Consider the following 20710-nt stretch of genomic DNA (forward strand, 5'->3'; position numbering starts at 1 on the left):
GTGCCGGGGGAGGGAGACTGGAAATAGAAAATAGTTTTCAGAATATAGGTTTTTGTTTTTTTTTTTTCAACTTATCCACCTGTTTGTAGCCATGTGTCACATTTCTGGGCCTCCTCCCTTCTTGAGATCTTGAACTCTGAAACCCTTGACTTTAATTCATTCAAAGACCAAACTCCCTTCTCCTTGGATGGGATAGAGGACCAGAAGCATAACTTTATTGTTTACAGATTTTCCTCTGCAGATACCTTCTCTGGTAGCTTCGTTTGGACTCCCAACTCAATGACCAGTCCTGTAATGACTTCATTTTCTTAAATAATTTGTTGATATTCTGCTGATATCTCTCTTTCCTTTATGAGTCTGTATATTTAAAAATCTTTTACAAAGGAGTAACAGAAAGAACAGGAGATGCACACATGTGATAAAGACTTTGGATTAAATTGGAGGTCCCACCAGAAGAGTGATCTTTGTGGATGACACCAAACAGATAAGTGGCATAATCATATTTTCATTTTAGAATGTTAGATTTGTAGACCCTTAGGTAGACAGGAAACTCTCAGTCACCTCTCTACTAACTGCTTTCTGATTTGCAAAAATTTGTTGAAATGTGTGTCTCTTTTAGTGGCTCTGTGCAGCTTTTAAAATAAAGTCCAAGCTTCTTTAATCATCAGCCCCTGTCTACGCCTCTTCCCTTGCAGTAGTCTGTGCCCTTCTTTTGCTTACCGTGGTGTTCATTGGATGCCTCTCTTGCTTAACAAAATGTATTATTGGTTCTCCTCTATTGTCTCCTTACTTTTTTGTGAGCTTCATAAGGACTGAAATTAGCTTCTGTTTGACTTTTGATCCCTGGGTTAGTACCTGATATATTAAAGGAGTTCAATAATGTTTGTTGAATAAATGATAACAAAGCTACTATAACCTTCCTTCTTAAGCTGGTCACCACAGATGCAGGCCTTGAGATGAAGATTGGTATGCAGGTGGTTTGTTAAGAAACTGCTTCCAGTAGAACTAGTGTGGGAATGGGAAAGAAAGACAGGGAAGGGAGGGAAGTTAGTAAGGGGTGGAATGTTAGGCAAAGACAGCAGCTACAGCCTAATCCTATAGGGGAACTCTGAAGTGTAAATTATCTCTCAGAGTTTGTCCAAACTTGAGGCAAAGGAGCTAAGTTTATGTAGTCCAGCACTGTCGGTCACTGGCTAAGGTCTGATCTGGGATTGAGTAACCAACCACCTTAGTTGGTCCAGGACTATCCTGGCTTTAGGACTGAAAGTCCCATGGCCCAGGAAACCCCTCAGTCTGGGGAAAGCCTGGACATGTTGTAACTGAAATACTTGCAGCTATCTGCTTGTGGGAAAAATGGTATCAAGAGCCCAAGGAAAGTCCTTGGAAGAGAGAAACAGCTGCAGTCATTAGATGCTGTGTTAGGAAGAATAATGGCTCTGAAACCTGTCCACATCTAATCCCGGGAACCTGTGCATTATCTTAATGGATAGCTTGAGTCCAGGAGTTCAAGACCAGCCTGGGCAACATGGTGAAATACCATATCTACGAAAAGTACAAAAAATTAGCTGGGTGTGGTGATGCACACTTATAGTCCCAGCTACCTCAGAGGCTGAGGTGGGAGGATCACCTGAGCTGGGGAGGTTGAGGCTGCAGTGAGCTGTGATCATGCCACTGCACTACAGCCTGGGTGACAGAATGGAACCCTGTCCCCAAAAAAAAAAAAAAAAAAAAAGACCTTGCAGATGTGATTAAACTAAGAATCTTGAGATAGAGAGATCATCCTGGGTTATCCAGGTGGGTTCAATGCAATCACAAAGTCATTATATGAGAAAGAGGGAGGTGGATGAGTCAGAGAAGATGATATGATGACAGAAGCAGAGGTCAGAGTGATTTGATTGCTGGCTTTGAAGATGGAAAGGGACTGTAGGCAGCCTCTAGAAGCTGGAAAAGACAAGGAAATGGGTTCTCTCCTAGATCCTCTAGAAGGAATGTAGCCCTGCCAACACCTTGATTTTAGCCCCATGGGACCCATTTGGGACTTCTGATTTCCAGAACTGTTAGATAATAAGTTTATGTTATTTCAAACCACAAAGAAGGTGGTGGCCGGGTGCGGTGGCTCACGCCTGTAATCCCAGCACTTTGAGAGGCCAAGGCGGGTGGATCACCTGAGGTCAGGAGTTCGAGACCAGCCTGGCCAACATGGTGAAGCCCCGTCTCTATTGAAAATACAAAAATTAGCCAGGCGTGGTTGTGGGTGCTTGTAGTCCCAGCTACTCAGGAGACTGAGGCACGAGAAGCACTTGAACCTGGGAGGCAGAGGTTGCAGTGAGCTGAGATCATGCCACTGCACTCCAGCCTGGGAGACAGAGTAAGACTCTGTCTAAAAAAAAAAGGAAAAGAAAAAGAAGGTGGCAATTTGTTACAGAAGCAATAGGACAAATACAAAGGCAAAAGCTCATTGAAGCTGGGGGAGATGAACAGAGACTCAGTAAAAGGGATCTGAGGGGGATCTGGGCAGTGTCCCAACAATACTTGTTCCCTCCAAATCAGAAAACTCCATCAGAGAGACAAAGCTTTCAATATTGACTACTGATTTAAAGTTTTGACTCTCTGATGGAGTTTTCTGATTTGGAAGATCAGAAGTTGACCATCAGACTAGGGAACTATAGCATAGAGATTAAGCCATGGGATCCGGAGTTTGATGCCCATTGAGTAAGTCTTGACTTTCGGCATTTTTAAACTCTGTGAACTTGGCATGTTACCAAAGCCTCTCTGAACCTTAGTGCTTCATTTGTAAAACTGAGATAATAACAAAACTCAAAAGGTATTCTAAGGATTAAATGAATATGCTTGTAAAGTTCCTGGCATACAGTAAAATCTCAATGCAGATATTACTGGTAGCACAGTGGGATCCCGTCTCTATTTAAATGTTACATTCTAAAGACAGTATAAGGTAAAAATCAAGATTGGTGACTATCAGGGATTAAAATCATTTAACTTGCTCAGAAGGTACAGTATGCAGGGTTTAGTGTTCACAACCTTGTAAATATGTACATATGAGGGTTTACTCCTCACCACCATAGAAACTTCATAATACTGAGTCCAAGTGCAAAACAATGTTACAGTATTTTCAATTACCCAGAAGAGGGAGGGAGTTGTTGAACTGTGCAATGGTTTACTCTTTAGCATTTGTTTCAGTCCATGGTTTATTTAAAGGGTGACTTTCACCTTCATTTGAATTTGCTCTTTTTCTGGGATCTTTGTTAAGCCCAGCAAAGTCACCCATTGTACCTGTGCCTGCCTTCTCTTCCCAAGGTTACCTGGGGGTATTTTCCCAGCCTTTTGATATGCTAAGCAGTCATAATTGGAGAGAGTTTAATAAACAACCATTAAGCTGCTCTTAGAAGTGTTCAAATTGGTCTAACTAGCAACTATCTAATAATTAATGAAGACCAGCTGTAACTGTAAAGCCATTTAGTGACCCAGATCAGTTTCTGCCAGATCCAGAAACAGCCCTACAAACCCCCTTCTGTTATCAAGATGGCAACTATTAAGGTGGGCTATTACCTGGGGTCTTTTATTCATTTCCATTAGACAGCAGGGGCTGAAACTCAAGTCAGCTGATGTGAAATCTTTTAAACAGCTCTTCAAGGAGGTCAAAGCCATTGATTATATTAGGGGGTAGGACTCATCTAGAGGTCGGGTATCTGTGGTCAGTTCTGTCCTCCCCATCTCCCCGACCCAGGTCACACAACACAGAGCTGTTGGACATCCTAGCAGGGCTTTCCTCTATATTTCAAGTATGCTGCTGGTTTGAGCTGACTCTTTTAAAACTTGGAGCTTTTCCCCCCTGGGTGAAATGGTGAGAGAGAAGGGGAGGAAGCCAGGGGGGAGGAGAAGGAAGTCCTTGGCTGAGCTGCCTGGTGCTTGGTGAGGAAGGGAGTGGGTGTGGGCGAGCTTGCTTCACTCTGAGGCCCTGCCAGCTCCTGGAAACGCTGCTGCTCTTTCTGAAAACCCTCCCTGAGGACAACCAGTTAAAACAACAAAAAACATCAATCAAAACTTATGGGGTTATTTTAAGGCCAAAGGGAAAGTAGATGAAAAAGGAGGTGGGCAGGAGTGGGAACTCGACCCACCTCCTTCCATCCCCGCTCCCAGAGCCTCAGTTCATAGCTCTTTACTCCCTCCCCATGCCTCCCCATTCCCATCTGCATCGACTGTGCTGGAACCTGGCTCACCCCCCTTGTTCTCCAGATGAACTGCCCTGTCTCTGCCTTGCCTTAGGCGGGGCCTTTGGGGATTGAGCTGTGTTTCTCTTCACTGTGTGTTGAACTTGGCAGGTGCAGGCGCATCTCATTCCAAGTCAAACTACCACCTTTCAGAAAGGAGGGCTGGGCCTGGAATCCATGGCTTGGGAAGGGCCCTGTGTACAACCACTGACCGTTGGAAGTGAATATTGTCCTTCTCCACCACCCGTGCCAGGCCTGCCACTGGTCATGACTGGGAAGGGAAGAAACAGGCATTTGGGGCTGAAGGTCACCCTCCCGCTGACCTATCAGAGGAACCTGGAGGTTCTGTGGGCAGTAAGAGTGGGGTCAGCTTCCCGGCCAGAAGTTCAAGTAGCCCCAGCGAGTCATCTGTTGCTTTAGACAAATAAGTGGTTGTTGGCCATGCTGATGCCACTTTGGCACATACCTGAGTGTGCAGAGCCAGTTTAAGAATGAGGTCTTGTTTCCCAAGAACCAACCCTCCTGCCGGAAATGTCTGGAAAGACAATGAGTGCATTCAGGAAGTTTTTTTCCCCTTTTCCCATGGTTCCCTGCAGCTGTCATGGGAACTGTTGCTCCCATGCAGAGAAGCTGCTCACCAAGGACTGGAGAGGCCAGCCTGCAGATCAGAGAAGCAGAGAGACTTCCAGACAGTTTCTCATTTGAAAATTGTTTCCAGAGGGTGAGGTCTCTTGTCCACTCCACCAGTGTCAATGACTCTCTGATAGGTCAGAGTAGAGGTCTAGATGTCAGCCCCACCACCTGCTGTCTGTGTGACTCAGGGAAAGGACCTAGCCTCTCTCTGCCACAGTTTCCTCACCTATGAAATGGGAATATTGCCCCCACATAAGTGTGAAGGTCAGAGGTAGTAACTGTTGGAAAGTGTTTACTTGGCTGATATTTTAATCATCCCTTGTTCCAATGTCACAGAATTTTCACATTCTCTCTTCAGCTTCATAATAGTCTCATGAGGTAGGAAGGGGAAGGGTGTGTAAAAGTAATTACATTTTGTTTTAAAGTTTGAAGGGCTTTGCCAATGGAAATGATGATATTGGCAGCTCACATCTGGCACAGAGAAAATGACCCCAGCAGTTTTTGTGCCCATGTTGGGTATGTTTTCTATTTTTCTGGTAATCTTACTATGAAACAAAAAACTCCAGTATAGGTAGATAAGGTTGTGCATTTTTCAAGACCCTCCAGGGCTACCAAGGATGAGTGACCTGGTATAGGGCAAAGAAGTCCTCTCTACCAGTGCTATCCAGTAGACAGATGATGTAAGACACTATAAAAGATAATATGAAAACACTATAAAGACAATATAATTAAAATAATGTAATTTTAGTTTTAAATTTTCTTGCAGAATTTTAATTTTAAATTTTCTTGTAGAAACATCAAAAAACTCTTAAATGGTAAAATTAATTTTTATAATATATATTTTTAATTCCATTATATTAAAAGCATTACCATTTCAACATGTAACAATATAAAAATTATTAGATACTTTATATTCTTTTTTCTTACCAAGTCTTTGAACTCCTGTGTGTATTTCACACTTACAGCACACCTCAATTCCAATGCTAAAAAATAATCATTGGAATTCTTAATTGCATTTCAGTTTCACAAACTTTATAGTTGCCAGAATAGATTCATATACTCAAGTGGTTCCACATATACTTAAAAGTTTTACAGTAATGGAATCACATATCAGATTTTAAATATATATTTACATTAATTAAAATTAATAGAATTTGAACTTCGGTTCCTCAGCCACTCTAGTGACATTTCAAGTGCTTAATAAGGACGGAGCAGGAGAAGTATCAGCTAGGCTGTTTTTTTGTTCACTTGTATTTCAATACTTAGAATTATCTTCAATAACTGTTTCTTTGCAGGAATGTTTTTAGTATTCATCTAAAACTAGCCTGTATACTCAGCCTATCCACTTAACCGGTCACACTGCAAGGCAGCGTGAATAATGGAGTTCTACTGCCAGCCTCTGCATACTGTGAACGAGTCAAGCCACAGAGCCCGAGTGACATCTGGCTGACATAGTGACTGAGGGAGACCTCCAGTGTCAATTCATATATTAAATAAAGTATTAATTTCTGTCCTTTTTTGATAAACAGAAGTGGATGATCTAACATTCTCTTCCCATACACCTGTGGATCACCTTTGTACACCATACTTGAAAGATCATGCTTGGAACCCTACCGCTGTGGTTGCTTCAAACTTTCTCTGAGCTGGGGCTTTAGTCCTAGACTTTCAGGGAATAAGTAGTGTCTATTCTGGGCCATTTTCCTTCTGACCTCCTCTCTTCCTCCCAGAGTTCCTTGGTTGTTTTTTTAAGCACTATGTAATACATTCATTTATCGGGTTTTGTCTTCAGATTTTTTTTTTTTTTTTTTTTTAAGAGACAGAGTCTTGCTCTGTATCCCAGGCTGGAGTGCAGTGGTATGATCATAGCTCACTGCAGCTTTGAATTCCTGGGCTCAAGGGATCCTCCTGCCTCAGCCTCCGAAGTAGCTGGGACTACAGGCTAACACCACCAAGCCTGGCTAATTTTAATTTTTTTTTTGTAGAGATAGGGTCTAGTTATGCTGCCCAGGCTGGCCTTGAACTCTTGGCCTCAAGCAGTCTTCCCAGCTTGGCTTCCTAAAGTGCTGGGACTACAGGTATGAGCCATCATGCCTGGCCTGACTTTTTATTAACTGTCATCTACAACAAAAGCAAAGAAAAACAACAAAATATTTCCAACAGAAGTCCCCAAAAGATGGCCAAGTTTTCACTTTAGAATTTGACCTAATTTTGTTCTTTGAGGATAAATTGTACAGTAGTTTTCCCCTGTCACTCATATTTGCCTAAACACTTTGGCACTCGAATAGGATACCATCATGGGAACTTGTGCTTATGTTTCCAGTATTTGTAGTATTCATTGTGAGTTCCTACAACCCCCGTATTTTTGAGAGTAGAAGTTCCCTCCTCTTTGTGCATGGACTATTTGTTATTGTATCTGTTCAGAGTTCAGTGCTTTGGCAGGGCTGGCCTCCCTGTGTCTTTGCTTAGCAGCATCACCCTGGCTTGGTTCTGGGGGGTCCATTTCTTCTCCAGATTCTCTAAGGGTCCCTCCCCACTCCCACCACTTTTATTTTTCCTTCTTTAGCTATTTTGCTGCTTAAGTCATCTGAGGTGGAACTTTTGGAGTCCTTGGCTTTTTGTGGTATTTTAACACTTATGACCTAAGGCAGGAGGAGCTGCATTTTCGGCTCTTTTCTTCTCTCCCGCTTCCCTCTTGAGGAGGACTCAGATAAAATTCTCTGAGGGAGAGAAAGGATTCTTGGCAAACTATCAGAACTTTCTTCTTCCTTTTTGTCTCTAATTGTATAAACAGAATATTCCAGAGCCCTGCAATGTTATTTTCCACCAATACCTCATGAAGAATACATTTTGCTAAAGGAAATCTAGAACATTCCTATCCAAGCTCACGTGGGCTTCCAGCATATGGGTGACTTTAGCTTGGCTGCACTGGGCCCTGCTCAGAGGCTGAGGCCTGTTTTGCAAGTTAAATGGCCTAGGTCTTGTTTCCAGATTCCATAATCAGCTTTATTCCACAAACCTCTAACATTATTTTATAAGCCAAGAGGTAACTCCTTAATGCTTCTGCTTATTTTCTCTTCCTAGTTCCTCAATTTAAAATATAATTATTCCTGTAGTTTCAGTTCCAGCTTTATCTTCCCAGGGAAGAAACTCCCAGCTGGGAATGGTTGAGCACCACTTGGCTTTTTTAGAAATTCTCTTTTATAAACACTGGTCCAGGGTCAGGATTTGCACAAATCTTTATGCATAAAGACTCCTCTCTGGCTTAGCTGATGACTCTAGGATTCCCATGATCTTCCCCCCACAGCCCACCTCCAGTAGTCCTATTGCCAAGAGGCAGAGCAGGGGCAGGGCAGGAGGGTGGCAGTGGAGCCAGGGCAAGGGACTAGAGCATCCGGATTTCCACCAACCATGCATCAACCTCCCATCTGCTTTGTAAAAGGTTTTCTAGGGTTAATTATTAGTATTTTAAAATAGTCATCTTTTTATTTATAAATAAAGGCTATTGCTGCTTTTTGTGATTTCCATAGCAGCCTGTAGCCTACCCACAACAGAAACTGGAGGTGGATCAAGCAAAAGAATAAGTGAACATTTACCTATTCATTTAGCAAATGTTGATCTAGAGGACATGCATGATCTATAATACATATATATAGCAAGATATACTGTGCATACTCGCCATATGTAATAGATATACTGTGCGCACAATACATATACTGTGCACACCCCCCATATACAATTGCATATATATAATTGCATGTATTATATATGGCATGTGTGCACAGTATATCTTACTAATCTGTATGTATATGTGTGTATATATACAGTATGTATATATATAGTGTGTATGTATATACAGTGTGTATACATATAAAAAAGGATTATCACAATGTATTCATACAAGTCAGTGTGGTGTTATATTTAAGAAAGATAGCATTTGGATAGGAACAGGAAAATCACAGAAGAAACATGAACAACTAATAAAAGTGTAAAAAGATTCAGCTCCACAAATGCACTGTGGATTAAGGAGCTGCCTCAGCTCCAAATCCTCTCTGTTCTTCTCTGTTGTGATGCTGGGGCTGTGATTCTGAAAACTGCATTTCTCCTGTGCTAGCTGGCTCTCAATTAGGTTCGGCCAGAAGGACTGGAAAGTAGAGGAAGGGAGAAGGGATCTGCCCTTTCTTCTGCACTTCCTATTTCTCCCATGTCACCAAGAAACAACAACATTGGCTCCTTTCCCCAGATACTTTCCACATTCCGTCAGCTAACCTTGTCACATCCCTTAGCAGTGTCTGCCATGTTAGGCAAGGGCTCCTTTTCTCATTGGAAGTCCTAGTATTAAAGGCCTCTTCTCCAAGCTCCTGAGCTGTTCAACCATCCAGTCAATGAACCCTGTTCTATAGTCTAAACCCTGACTCTTAAAGCTTCTAGCTTCCTAGAACCACAAACTTTCCCTTTTGTTTCCCCAGCCTTGAGGGTGAACATGCTTCCTGCAATTGCTACCTTTACCTTACCTCTGACTTTCCTAGGCTTCCAGCATCTACCTACCCAATTACCTACATCAAATCCTTGCTGATAAGATAACTAGTGTTGCTTCTGTTTCCCGGACTAAACAATGGTTAATACAACAACTACTGTAAGAAAAGGCAAAAAACAAACAAACAAACTCAAAAAACAAAAAAACCTCAAACCCTAAAACAACATTGATATCTATATATCCATACTCTCAACACATGCATGGTTGTCAATACCTGAGTTTTGGAAGGCTTATGGCCCCATCCTGTAGGCTGGGGATCTCTCTTTATTTCAGAGATGCAGCCTTGGAGTCTGCAGGGTTCTGCAAGTGCAGAACTTGTGCCGAACACATGGTTCTGCCTCTGCCTCTGCCCCAAGAGTCCTCATCTCCGGTCACTGACCCTATGCCTAGATGGGTCTTTCCCTGCAGTTCTGCCAAACTATTTTCACTCCCCTCACTGGAAAGCAACAGAGATTTCACAAACCTTGTCAGTTCCTATGAAAGCAATTTTCAGTGGGACTATGGGGATTGTCTCGCTCTAGATCAGTGGTCCTACAGTTGGAGCTGTGGACCCTGTCATTTAGTGTTCAGGTGGTGACTTGAAGTCTCACTGTCCTGACTAATACTGACATTTCCAGGACTTAGGGTTCTCAGGGAACATCACAGCCATGTGGCAATTTTCGCAGGTCCCCTAATATGGTATAGAGCTTTGGCAAGGTTTGAAGCACTAGTTCATTTTATTCTTTGGGACAGTCCTATTAGGTAGGTACAGTCATGCATCATGTAATAACAAGAATATTTTCTGAGAAATGCATTTTAAGCAGTTTTTCATTGTTGTGTGAACATCATAAGGGTTTACTTCCACAGACCTAAATGGTACAGCCTACTACACACTTAGGCTATACGGTATAGCCTCTTGTTCCTAGGCTACAAATCTTTACAGCATGGTACTGTGTCCAATACTGTAGACAATTATAACACAATAGGAAGTATTTGTACATTAAAACATATCTAAACATAGAAATGTACAGTAAAAATATGGTACTATAATTTATGGAAACACCTTTTATATGCAATCTATCATTGATCGAAACATAGTTATGCAGCACATGACTGTATTATCTCTATGAAATATGTGAGGTCTGGGACGTGGGTTGAGTTGCTTGTCCAAAGCCAGCCTAGATGGTGTGTATCTTCAATAAATAATGATCAACATTACTATTATTTCTATAGAATTTCGTCAGAGAAGGCAGGTCCCATCCTACTTCTGTGAAATGGGAAGCCCTGATCCAGTCTAGTAGGCTTGTAGACTATCACCTTCCTACTACAACTGTATAAAGGTAAAAATAGTGAAGGATCAGGGGAATAAGAGCTTCAGCCAGGTCCTGGGGCCAGGCTGTTACTAGATTTTCTAACCTCGACAACTACAATACAGTTCATTTTATATTGTTTTATTTTCAAGGGAGTTTTATGAAAAAAATAATGTATTTTTAAACAGGTCCTTTTTTTCAGGTAAAAATGAAGAAAACTGGGATGAGGTGGATATGTAATGCTTTGGACATGGAACTGTGAGTCCTTAGAAGCCAAGTGATCTGAGGCAAGGAATACTTTAAGGGGATGGCTCTGAGGCTGGTTTTGTGGCTCTCCTGACAAGCTGAGTTTTAACCAGCTAGAAATATTCTCTTTAGGGACATCTCTCAGTCACTGGGACCTTAGATTATCCTGATCCCCATTTAACTTTTGAGAGTTTCCTAGTTTACTGCCTCTGAGATCATCTCCCGATTTTGGCTTAGAAACTGGAAATCATCAACTTGACTATCTCCCTACAATCTTCAACCATTCAAGGAATTCCTAAATTAATTTCCAACGTCCTTTTCTTAACATAGAAATTCACCATAAAGAAGATGCTCTATTTCTTTTTCTTTCCAAGCCAAACTGTATCCAGCTTTATTAAAGATACTTTCCATAAACAATCATGGTATTTCAGGCAGGACATGGGCAGACAATCATGAACAGTATACAACAAATTTTAAACTCCCTTCTTCAATTGACTACCAAAAATCTGAAAGCCACTATAAAACCCAATGAAGTTTTCGTCTGATGCTCTGAACAGGGAAAGTTTAGAGTGAGGGTTGACATTTCACATTTAGCATGTTGTTTAACAGCTTTTCACAAGCCGACCCTGAGTTTCAGGAAGTGAAATGAAAATGGCAGAATTTATCTGAAGATCCACAGTCTAGAAATGGAACCACCGCTGTTTTGACAGGTGCCATCTCAGTGGCATCACTGGAAAGTCCAGATTGCCTGACACACTGGTAACCAATGACTGGGGGTCAGGTCCCAACAGATGTCTGGGCTTAAGGGAGTTAAGTCTATGCTGAAGGATGGAAAGGGAGAAGAGGACATAAAAACAAATTTGTTTTTCCATCCTACAAGGCTTTTGTGCCAAGGTGACCATCTGTGTCAAAGTCAGGGAATCCCTCCTCCTGGGAGCCAAGAGGAAGTCTCTCAAAGCTAGAAGGGAAAGGTGTTTTCCCCACATCAATCCAGCTTTTGGGACATTCTATTAGTGACATATGCCCCTTCTCCCTAAAACAACACTGAAGTGTTCTGTGTGCTAATAGCATAGCTTTAAAAAAAAAAGTAAAACAAAATTCTGCATTTTTATAAAACTTGATAAAAATAGTATTTCAAGCTGTACAGTCATCAAAAGTACACAGTTATAAAAAATGCACATGCTTCACTTGGCACCTCCAGCACCTTCAGCTTTCTGTGCCTGGTCTGTTTTGGCATCTCCGTTTTCTGCAGGGTTATTCCCCTCCTCGCCAGCATCAGCTTTTCCCTTTTTCCCTTTGGGTATCTTCTCTCCCTTCTTTGCAGGGGCCTTTTTAGGCTTGGGCTCTGGCTTTGGAGGAGCAGGTTTAGCAGAAAACCTCATGGATCTTCTCTGTGGTTCATCCTTCACCTTGGCTTTATCTCCTTTAGCATCCCCTTCAGCCTTTCTCTTGGGCACGGTGTTGTTGACGATGGTGGTGGGACATAAGCGCTGGGCGTGGGATGCAGCAACACACTTGCTTTCATTGTCCGGGGATCATTCTCACCTCTTGTTCTTCTGAAGATGCTCTCTTTCTTTGGTGAGATTCTTCCCTTCATCCCTTCTCTTCTCTCAAGACCTTCTCTCTTCTGTTCTCTGCCTTAGATGGCATTGCTATTCCATGGCTAAAGTCTCATAGGGTATAACATCCGCCCTCATCACTTGGTAGGATGACCAACTCATCCCAGTTTATCCAGGACTTTCCTGGTTTTAACAATAAAAAAGCTTGTCTCCCAGGGAACCCCTCAGTCCCAGACAAGCCAGGATGGTACTATGATTCGAATATTTATCTTCTCCAAAGTTTACATTGAAATTTAATGTGGCAGTACTTGACAGGTAAGGCCTTTCAGAGGTGATTGGACCTAAAGGTCGCTTCCCTCATGAATGGATTAACCCATTCACGGATTACTGAATTAATAAGTTATCATTGGAGTGGGGCTGGTGGCTCTATAAGATGAGAAAGAAAGAACTAATCTAGCACATTCATCCCCCTCACCATGAGATGCCCTGCACAGCCCCAGGACTCTTCAGAGAGTCCTCACCAGCAAGGTTTTCACCACTTGTTGTCCCTTGACCTTGAACTGTCCAGGCTCCAGGGCTGGAAGAAATATTTTTTCTCATAAATTACCTAGTTTCTGGTATTATGCTATAAGCAACAGACAATGTACTAAGACAGAAAATTGATACCAAGAAGTGGGGTTGTTGCTGATAACAAATATCTGAAAATGTGGAAGTGGCTTTGGAATTGAGTAATGGGCGGAGGCTGGAAGAATTTGCAGGAGCAGGCTAGAAAAAGCCTAGATTCTTGTGAGGGCTTAGAAGACAAGAAGACTAGGGAAAGTTTGGACCTCCTTAGGGATTGGTTAAGTGGTTCTGACCAGAATGCTGATAGAAATATGGACAGTAAAGGTCATTCTTATGAGGCTTCAGAAGAACCGAGAAACAAGGTATTAGAAACTGGCGTAAAGGCCATCTTTATTATAAACTGGCAAAGAACTTGTGTGCATTGTGTTCATGCCCTAGGGCTTTATGGAATGCAGAACTTAAAAGCAATTCATTAGAATATCTGGTGGAAGAAATATCTAAGCAGCAAAGCATTCAGGCTGCTGCATGGCTGCTTTTAACCCCTCACATTAAACTGTGAGAAGGAAAAAAATGACTTAAAGATAGAATTTATAATCAAAAAGGAAGCAAAATGGAAAGATGTGGAAAACTCTCAGCCTGGCCATGTGAAGAGTAAAAAAGTGTTTGGGAGAGAAAACCAAGGGTGTGGCCCAGCAATTTTTTGCTAAGGAGGTTAGTACAGAGAGAAGAGATCATCAAAAGAATGGAAGAAGGACTTCAAAGGCATTTCAGAGATTTTCAAGGCTGCCCCTATCATCACAGGCCCAGCAGCCTAGGAGGACAGAATGGTCTGGGAGGTCAGACCCAAGGGTGCCCTCCACGGACTTGCCTCCCAGGATCCCCTTGGGTCTCTGTTCCCTACACTGCAGCACAGTGCTCCTCAGCTACCCCAGTGGTGGCTCAAGTGGCCCCACTATTCTGGAAGGTAAAAGTTATAAACCTTCGCAGCATCCACATGGTGTTGATTCTGCAGGTCCATAGAATGCAAAAACTATAGAGATATGGCAGCTTTCACCTAGATTTCAAAGAGTGTTGCTGAAAGCCTGGGGGGCCAGGCAGAGACTTGTCACAGGGACATAGCTACTGCAGAGATCCCCCATTAGAGCAATGCCTAGTGGAGATGTTGGGTGGGACCTGTCACAGAGAGTCACCACTAGGGCACTGCTTAGTGGAGCTGTGGGGGCCGGGCCATCACTGATATGTCAGAACTGTGGAGTCATCAGTGGCATACAACACCTGCCTGGGAAAGCTTCAGGCACAAAACTCCAACCCATATGAGCAGCCACATGGGCTACACCCAGTAAAGCCATGAGGATGTGGCTGCCAAGGCCTGTGGGGGACCATATCAGGGCCCTCTGGACTTCCACACTCATAGATAAGAGACTACAACAGGGAGACTATTCAGAGTGATGACCTCATTTAACTGGACTGCTTGGTGAGCTTGGCTTTGGAGTTCTCTCTTTATACATGTGTGCCTGAGGAGGGAAAGATGGATAGGGGGAGAGGCCAAAACTGGGCATTTCTCCACCTAAATGCTTATGGATTCAAGGACCTTGAGAGGCAGACCAGGCCTCTGCTGCATATGTAACCACAGAATATGGGCATCTAGGACCCAATGAGCTCCTGAACAAGGAAGGAAATCCAAGAGATATTCAGGTAATGTTTACAACCCACAGAGAGTGTCCAATTTCTGGCTTCTAAGCCATATGGAACTTCCCAGGAGGGGCCAGTGTAAAGTAGTCAGCAAGCCCTGAACAAGTCACAACTGACTTGGAAACAATCCTGATTGGTCTGCCCTGATTTCTTGTCCAAAACCTTCCTAGGACATTTTCCAGTTGCCTCTGATCTTCCTTGGGATTATTATAAGCCATTTCCTGAGTGATTCACATGCCACTTTCAGTCTCCTTCTCAGTCAGTGCCCAAACTCTTCACTGGGTAGATTTAAAAAATAGTAATAAACTTTTGAAGAGCAGTTTTCAGTTCACAGCAAAATTGAACAGGACTTACAGAGCGTTCCCATATACTTCTGTCCCCACACATGCACAGCCTCCCCCACTCTCAACATCCTGCACCACAGTGGTACATTTGTTACAGTTGATGAATCTACCCTTACACCTTATTATCTCCCAAAGTCCATAGTTTTCATTAGGATTCACTGTTGGTGTTGTACATTCTATAGGTTTGGACAAATGTACAATGACATGGATCCATCATTGTAGTATCATATGGAATAGTTTCACTGCCCTAAAAATCGTCTACATTCTGCCTGTTCATCCCTTCCTCCCCTCTAACACCTGGCAACCACTAATCTCTTTGCTGTTTTCATAGTTGCCTTTTCCAGAATGTCATATAGCTGGAGTCATACAGTATGTACACTTTTCAGGTTGGCTTCTTTCACTTAGCGATAATGCATTTAAGTTTCTTCCATGTCTTTTCATGGCTTGATAGCTCATTTCTTTTTAACACTTAACAATATTCCATTGTTCAGATGTACCACAGTTTATCGATCCAGTCACCTAGTGAAGGACATCTTGGTTGCTTCTAAGTTTTGGTAATTATTAATAAAGCTACTGTAAACATCTATTTGTAAGTTTTTTTGTGGACATAAGTTTTCAACTCTTTTGGGTATATACCAAGGAGCACGATTAATGGATTCTATGAAAAGAGCATGTTTAGTTTTGTAAGAATCTGTCAAACTGTCTTCCAAAGTGGCTGTCCCATTTTGCATTCCCACCAGCAGTGAATGAGAGTTCCTGTTGCTCCACATCTTCACCAGCATCCGGTTCTGGATTTTGTTTTGGATTTTGGCCATTCTAATAGGTGCATAGTGACATTTCACTGTTGTTTTAATTTGCAATTCCCTAGTGACATGATATTGAACATATTTTCATATGCCTACTTGCCATCTGTATATCTTCTTTGGTTAGATGTCTGTTCAGGTCTTTGGCCTATATTTTAATTGGGTTATTCACTTTATTTATGTTTTAAGAGTTCTTTGTTTTATAGAACAGTCCTTTATCATATGTGCCTTTTGCAAATGTTTTCTCCCAGTCTATGACCCATCTTTTGATCTTCTTGATATTGTATTATACAAAGCAGAAGTTTTTAATTTTAATGAAGTTCAGGTTTTTAATTCTTTCTTTCACACATCATTCCTTTGTTGCTGTATCTAAAAAGTCATTACCAAACCAATGATCACCTAAATTTTCTCATATGTTGTATTCTAGGGGTTTTGTAGTTTTTATTTTTACATTTAGGTCTATGATCCATTTTGAGTTAATACCTGTGAATAGTGTAAGGTCCGTTTTTGGATTCTTTTCTTTTCTTTTTTTTTTTTTTTGCATGTAAATGTCCAGTTATTCCAACACCATTTGTTGAAAAAACTATCTTTTCTTCATTGTATTGCCTTTGCCCTTTTGTCAAACATTAGTTGACTGTATTTATCTAGGTATATTTATGGGCTACCTATTTTGTTCCATTGATCTATTTATTCTTTCATCAGTACCACACTGTCTTTATTACTGTACCTTTATAGTAAGTCTTAGAGTAGTGTCAGTACTCCAATTTTGTTGTTCTTCAGGATTACATTAGATATTCTGGGTCTTTTGCTTTTCCACATAAACTTTAGAATTACTTTGTCAATATTCACATAATAACTTGTTGGGATTTTAATTGGAATGGCATTGACTCTATAGATCAAGTTGGGAAGGACTGACAATAACAATAAAGAGTCCTCCTATTCATGAACATAGACTATCTCTCTACTTATTTTGTTCTTTGATTTATTTCAACAGAATTTTAAAGTTTTTCTTATATAGATTTTGTACACGTTTTGTTAGATTTATACCTAAGAATTTCATTTTGGGGAGTGTTAATATAAATGGTAATGTGTTTTTATTTGAAATTCCATTTGTTCATTGATAGTATATAGAAAAGTAGTTGAGTTTTGTTTCTTAATCATGTATCTTGCAACTTTGTTATAGTGGCTTATTAGGTCCAGGAGTTTACTTGATTCTTTTGGATTTTCTACATAGATGATTATGTCATCTGTGAACAAAGACAGTTTTATTTTTTTCTCCCAATCTGTATACCTTTTATTTCCCTTTCTTGTCTAATTGCTTTAGTTGGGGCTTCCAGTACAATGTTGGAAAGCAGTGGAGAGAGGGAATATCCTTGCCTTGCTTCTCATCTTGGCAGGAAAGCTTTGAGTTTGTCACCATTAAGCATGCTATCTAGCTGTAAGTTTTTAAAACAGATATTCCCTATTAAGTTGAGAAAGTTCCCCTTTTATTCTTAGTTTCCTGAGAGTTTTATGATAAAAGAGTATTTTATTTTGTCAAATGTTTTTTTCTGCACCTATCAATATAATCACGTGATTTTTTTCTTTTAGCCTGTTGATGTAATGGATTACATTAATTGATTTTCAAATGTTGAATCAGCCTTACATACCTGGAATAAATCCCACTTGGTTGTGTTGTCTTATTCTTCTTTTTATACACTGTTAGATTTGATTTGCTAATTTTTTTTGAGAATGTTTGCATCTATGTTTCAGAGAGATATTGTTCTATACTTTTCTTGTAATAGTTTTGTCTGGTTTTGGTATTACGGTAATGCTGGCCTCACAAAATGAGTTAGGAAGTATTCCCTCTGCTTCTATCTTTTGGAAGAGATTGTTGTGATAGTTAATACTGAGTGTCAACTTGATTGGATTGAAGGATGAAAGTATTGATCCTGGGTGTGTCTATGAGGGTGTTGCCAAAGGATATTAACATTTGAGTCAGTGGGTGGAGAAGGCAGACCCACCCTTAATCTGGTGGGCACAATCTAATCAGCTGCCAGCGAATATAAAGCAGGCAGAAAAACATGAAAAGGCAAGACTGGCCTAGCCTCCCAGCCTACATCTTTCTCCTGTGGTGGATGATTCCCGTCCTTAAACATCAGACCCCAAGTTATTCAGTTTTGAGACTTGGACTGGCTCCCCTTGCTCCTCAAGCTTGCAGCCTATTGTGGGACCTTGTGATCACATAAGTTATCAGTTAATAAACCCCCTTTTGGAATACTACTCGGCCATAAAAAGGAATGAAATAATGGCATTCTCAGCAACTTGGAATAATGGAATTAGAGACCATTATTCTAAGTGAAGTAGCTCAGGAATGGAAAACCAGACATCGTATGTTCTCCCTCACAGGTGTGAGCTAATCTATGAGGATGCAAAAGCATAAGAATAATACAATGGACTTTGGGGACTTGGGGGAAAGGGTGAGAGGGGGTGAGGGAGAAAAGACTACACATTGGGTACAGTGTACACAGCTTGGGTGATGGGTGCACCAAAATCTCAGAAATTATCACTGAAGAACTTACTAATGTAACGAAACACCACCTGTTTCTCAAAAACCTATGGAAAAAATAAATAATAAAAACATGTTAAAAGATAAATAGCAAACTGGAAAAAATGGTAAACATATTTATAAATCTAAATGAACACTGACTATAAAAACTATTGTAAAACATTAAAAAAAAGTCCTTTGAGCATGGCTTCTGCTGCAATCCACAAATTTTGATGTTTATATTTTCATTTAGTTTAAAATATTTAAAAATTTTTAAATCTCTTTTTTGGCCTGCATATTATTTAAAAGTATGTTGTTTAATCTCCAAGTATTTTGGGATTTTCTAGCTATCTTTCTATTATTGATTTCTAATTTAATTCCATTGTGGTCTGAGAACAGACATTGCATAAATGCTATTCTTTTAACCTTGTTAAGGTGTGTTTTATGGCCCAGAGTGTGGTCTATCTTGGTGAACTTTCCATATAAACTTGAGAAGAATGTGTACTCTGCTGTTGTTGGAGGAAGTAGTCTATAAATGTCAATTATATCCAGTTGATTGATAGTGCTGTTAACTATGTCTTTACTGATTTTCACTAATTTTCTACCTGCTGAATCTGTTTTTTTTTTTTTTTTTTTTTGAGACAGAGTTTCACTCTGTTGCCAGACTGGACTGCAGTGGCACAATCTTGGCTAACTGCAACCTCTGACTCCCTGCTTCGAGCAATTCTCCTGCCTCAGCCTCCCAAGTAGCTAGGATTACAGGCACACACCACCACGCCAAGCTAATTTTTGTATTTTTAGTAGAGACGTGATTTCACCATGTTGGCCATGATGGTCTCGATTTCCTGACCTTGTGATCCACCTGCCTTGGTCTCCCAAAGTGCTGGGATTACAGGAGTGAGCCACCGCCCCCGGCCAGATCTGTTCATTTCTAATAAAGGAGTGCTAAAGTCTCCAACTTTAATAGTGGATTCATCTACTTCTCCTTGCAGTTCTATCAGTTCTTGCCTTATGTATTTTAACACTATGTTGTTAGGCTCATACACATTAAAAATTATGCCTTCTTGGCATATTGACTCCATTTATCATTATGTCCCTCTTTATTCCTCATAAGTTTTCTTGCTCTAAGTCTACTCTGTCTGAAATTAATATAGCCACTCCTGCTTTCTTCTGACTAGTGTTAGCATGGTATATCTTTCTCCATCTTTTGTATGTGCCTTTATAGTTAAAGTGGGTTTGTTGTAGACAACACAGAGTTGGGTCTTGTTTTTGATCCACTCTGGCAATTTCTCTCTTTAAATTGGTATTTTTAGACCATTGACATTTAGAGTGATTATTGGTATAGTTGGGTTAATACCTACAATATTTGTTACTGTTTTCTATTTGTTATCTTTGTTTTATTTCTATTTTTATCCTCCATATTTTTTCTGCCTTTTGTGGTTTTAATTGAGCATTTTATATTATTTCATTTCCCTCACTTTCCTAGCATATCAATTATTTCTTTTATTTTTTTTCAGTTACTGCCTTAGAGTTTGCAGTATACATGCACAAGAAACCCAAGTCCATTCTCAAATAACACTATACCACTTCACAGATTGTGCAAGTAACTTATAACAAAATACCTCTACTTCCTCTCTCCTACCCCTTGTATATTGCTATTATTATTTTTTTTACTTATGCATAAATCTGTAAGAATAATTAATACATTGTTGCTATTATTTTGAACAAACATCTGTTAGATAAATTGCGAATACGAAAAATAAAAATTTTTATTTTACTTATTTATTCTCTGATGTTACTTATTTATTTATGTAGATCTAAGTTTCTGACCTATATCATTTTCCTTCTTTCCGAAGGACTTCGTTTAACATTTCTTGAAAGGTTTATTGGCAACACATTCAACTTTTGTTTGCCTAAGAAAATATTTATATCTCTGTCACTTTTGAAGAGTAATTTCACAGGGTATAGATTTTAGTTTTTTTTCCTTTTGTCCCCTTCTCTCAACATTTTAAGTATTTCACTCAACTGTCTTCTAGCCTGCATGTTTACTAAAAAGAAATCAGATGTAATTCTTTTATTTGCTCTTTTATAGGTCAGTTTTTTTTCCTTTATGGTTTCTTCAAGATTTTTTTCTTTATCTTTGATTTTCTGAAGTTTAAATATGATGTACCTAGGTGTAGTTTTTTTGGCATTTATTCTGCTAGGAGGTGTTCTCTGAGCTTTCTGGATCTGTAGTTTGGTGTCTGACATTAATATGGGGGAAATTCACAGTCATTATTTCCTAAAATAT

At 40.4% G+C, this 20710-nt stretch overlaps 1 pseudogene; it reads right to left on the reverse strand.

Moving 5' to 3' along the window:
- On the reverse strand, positions 11299 to 12485 carry HMGN2P24 (high mobility group nucleosomal binding domain 2 pseudogene 24; annotated as a pseudogene).

This window comes from Homo sapiens, chromosome 3 (assembly GCF_000001405.40).
Source record: "Homo sapiens chromosome 3, GRCh38.p14 Primary Assembly".
Taxonomy (NCBI): domain Eukaryota; kingdom Metazoa; phylum Chordata; class Mammalia; order Primates; family Hominidae; genus Homo; species Homo sapiens.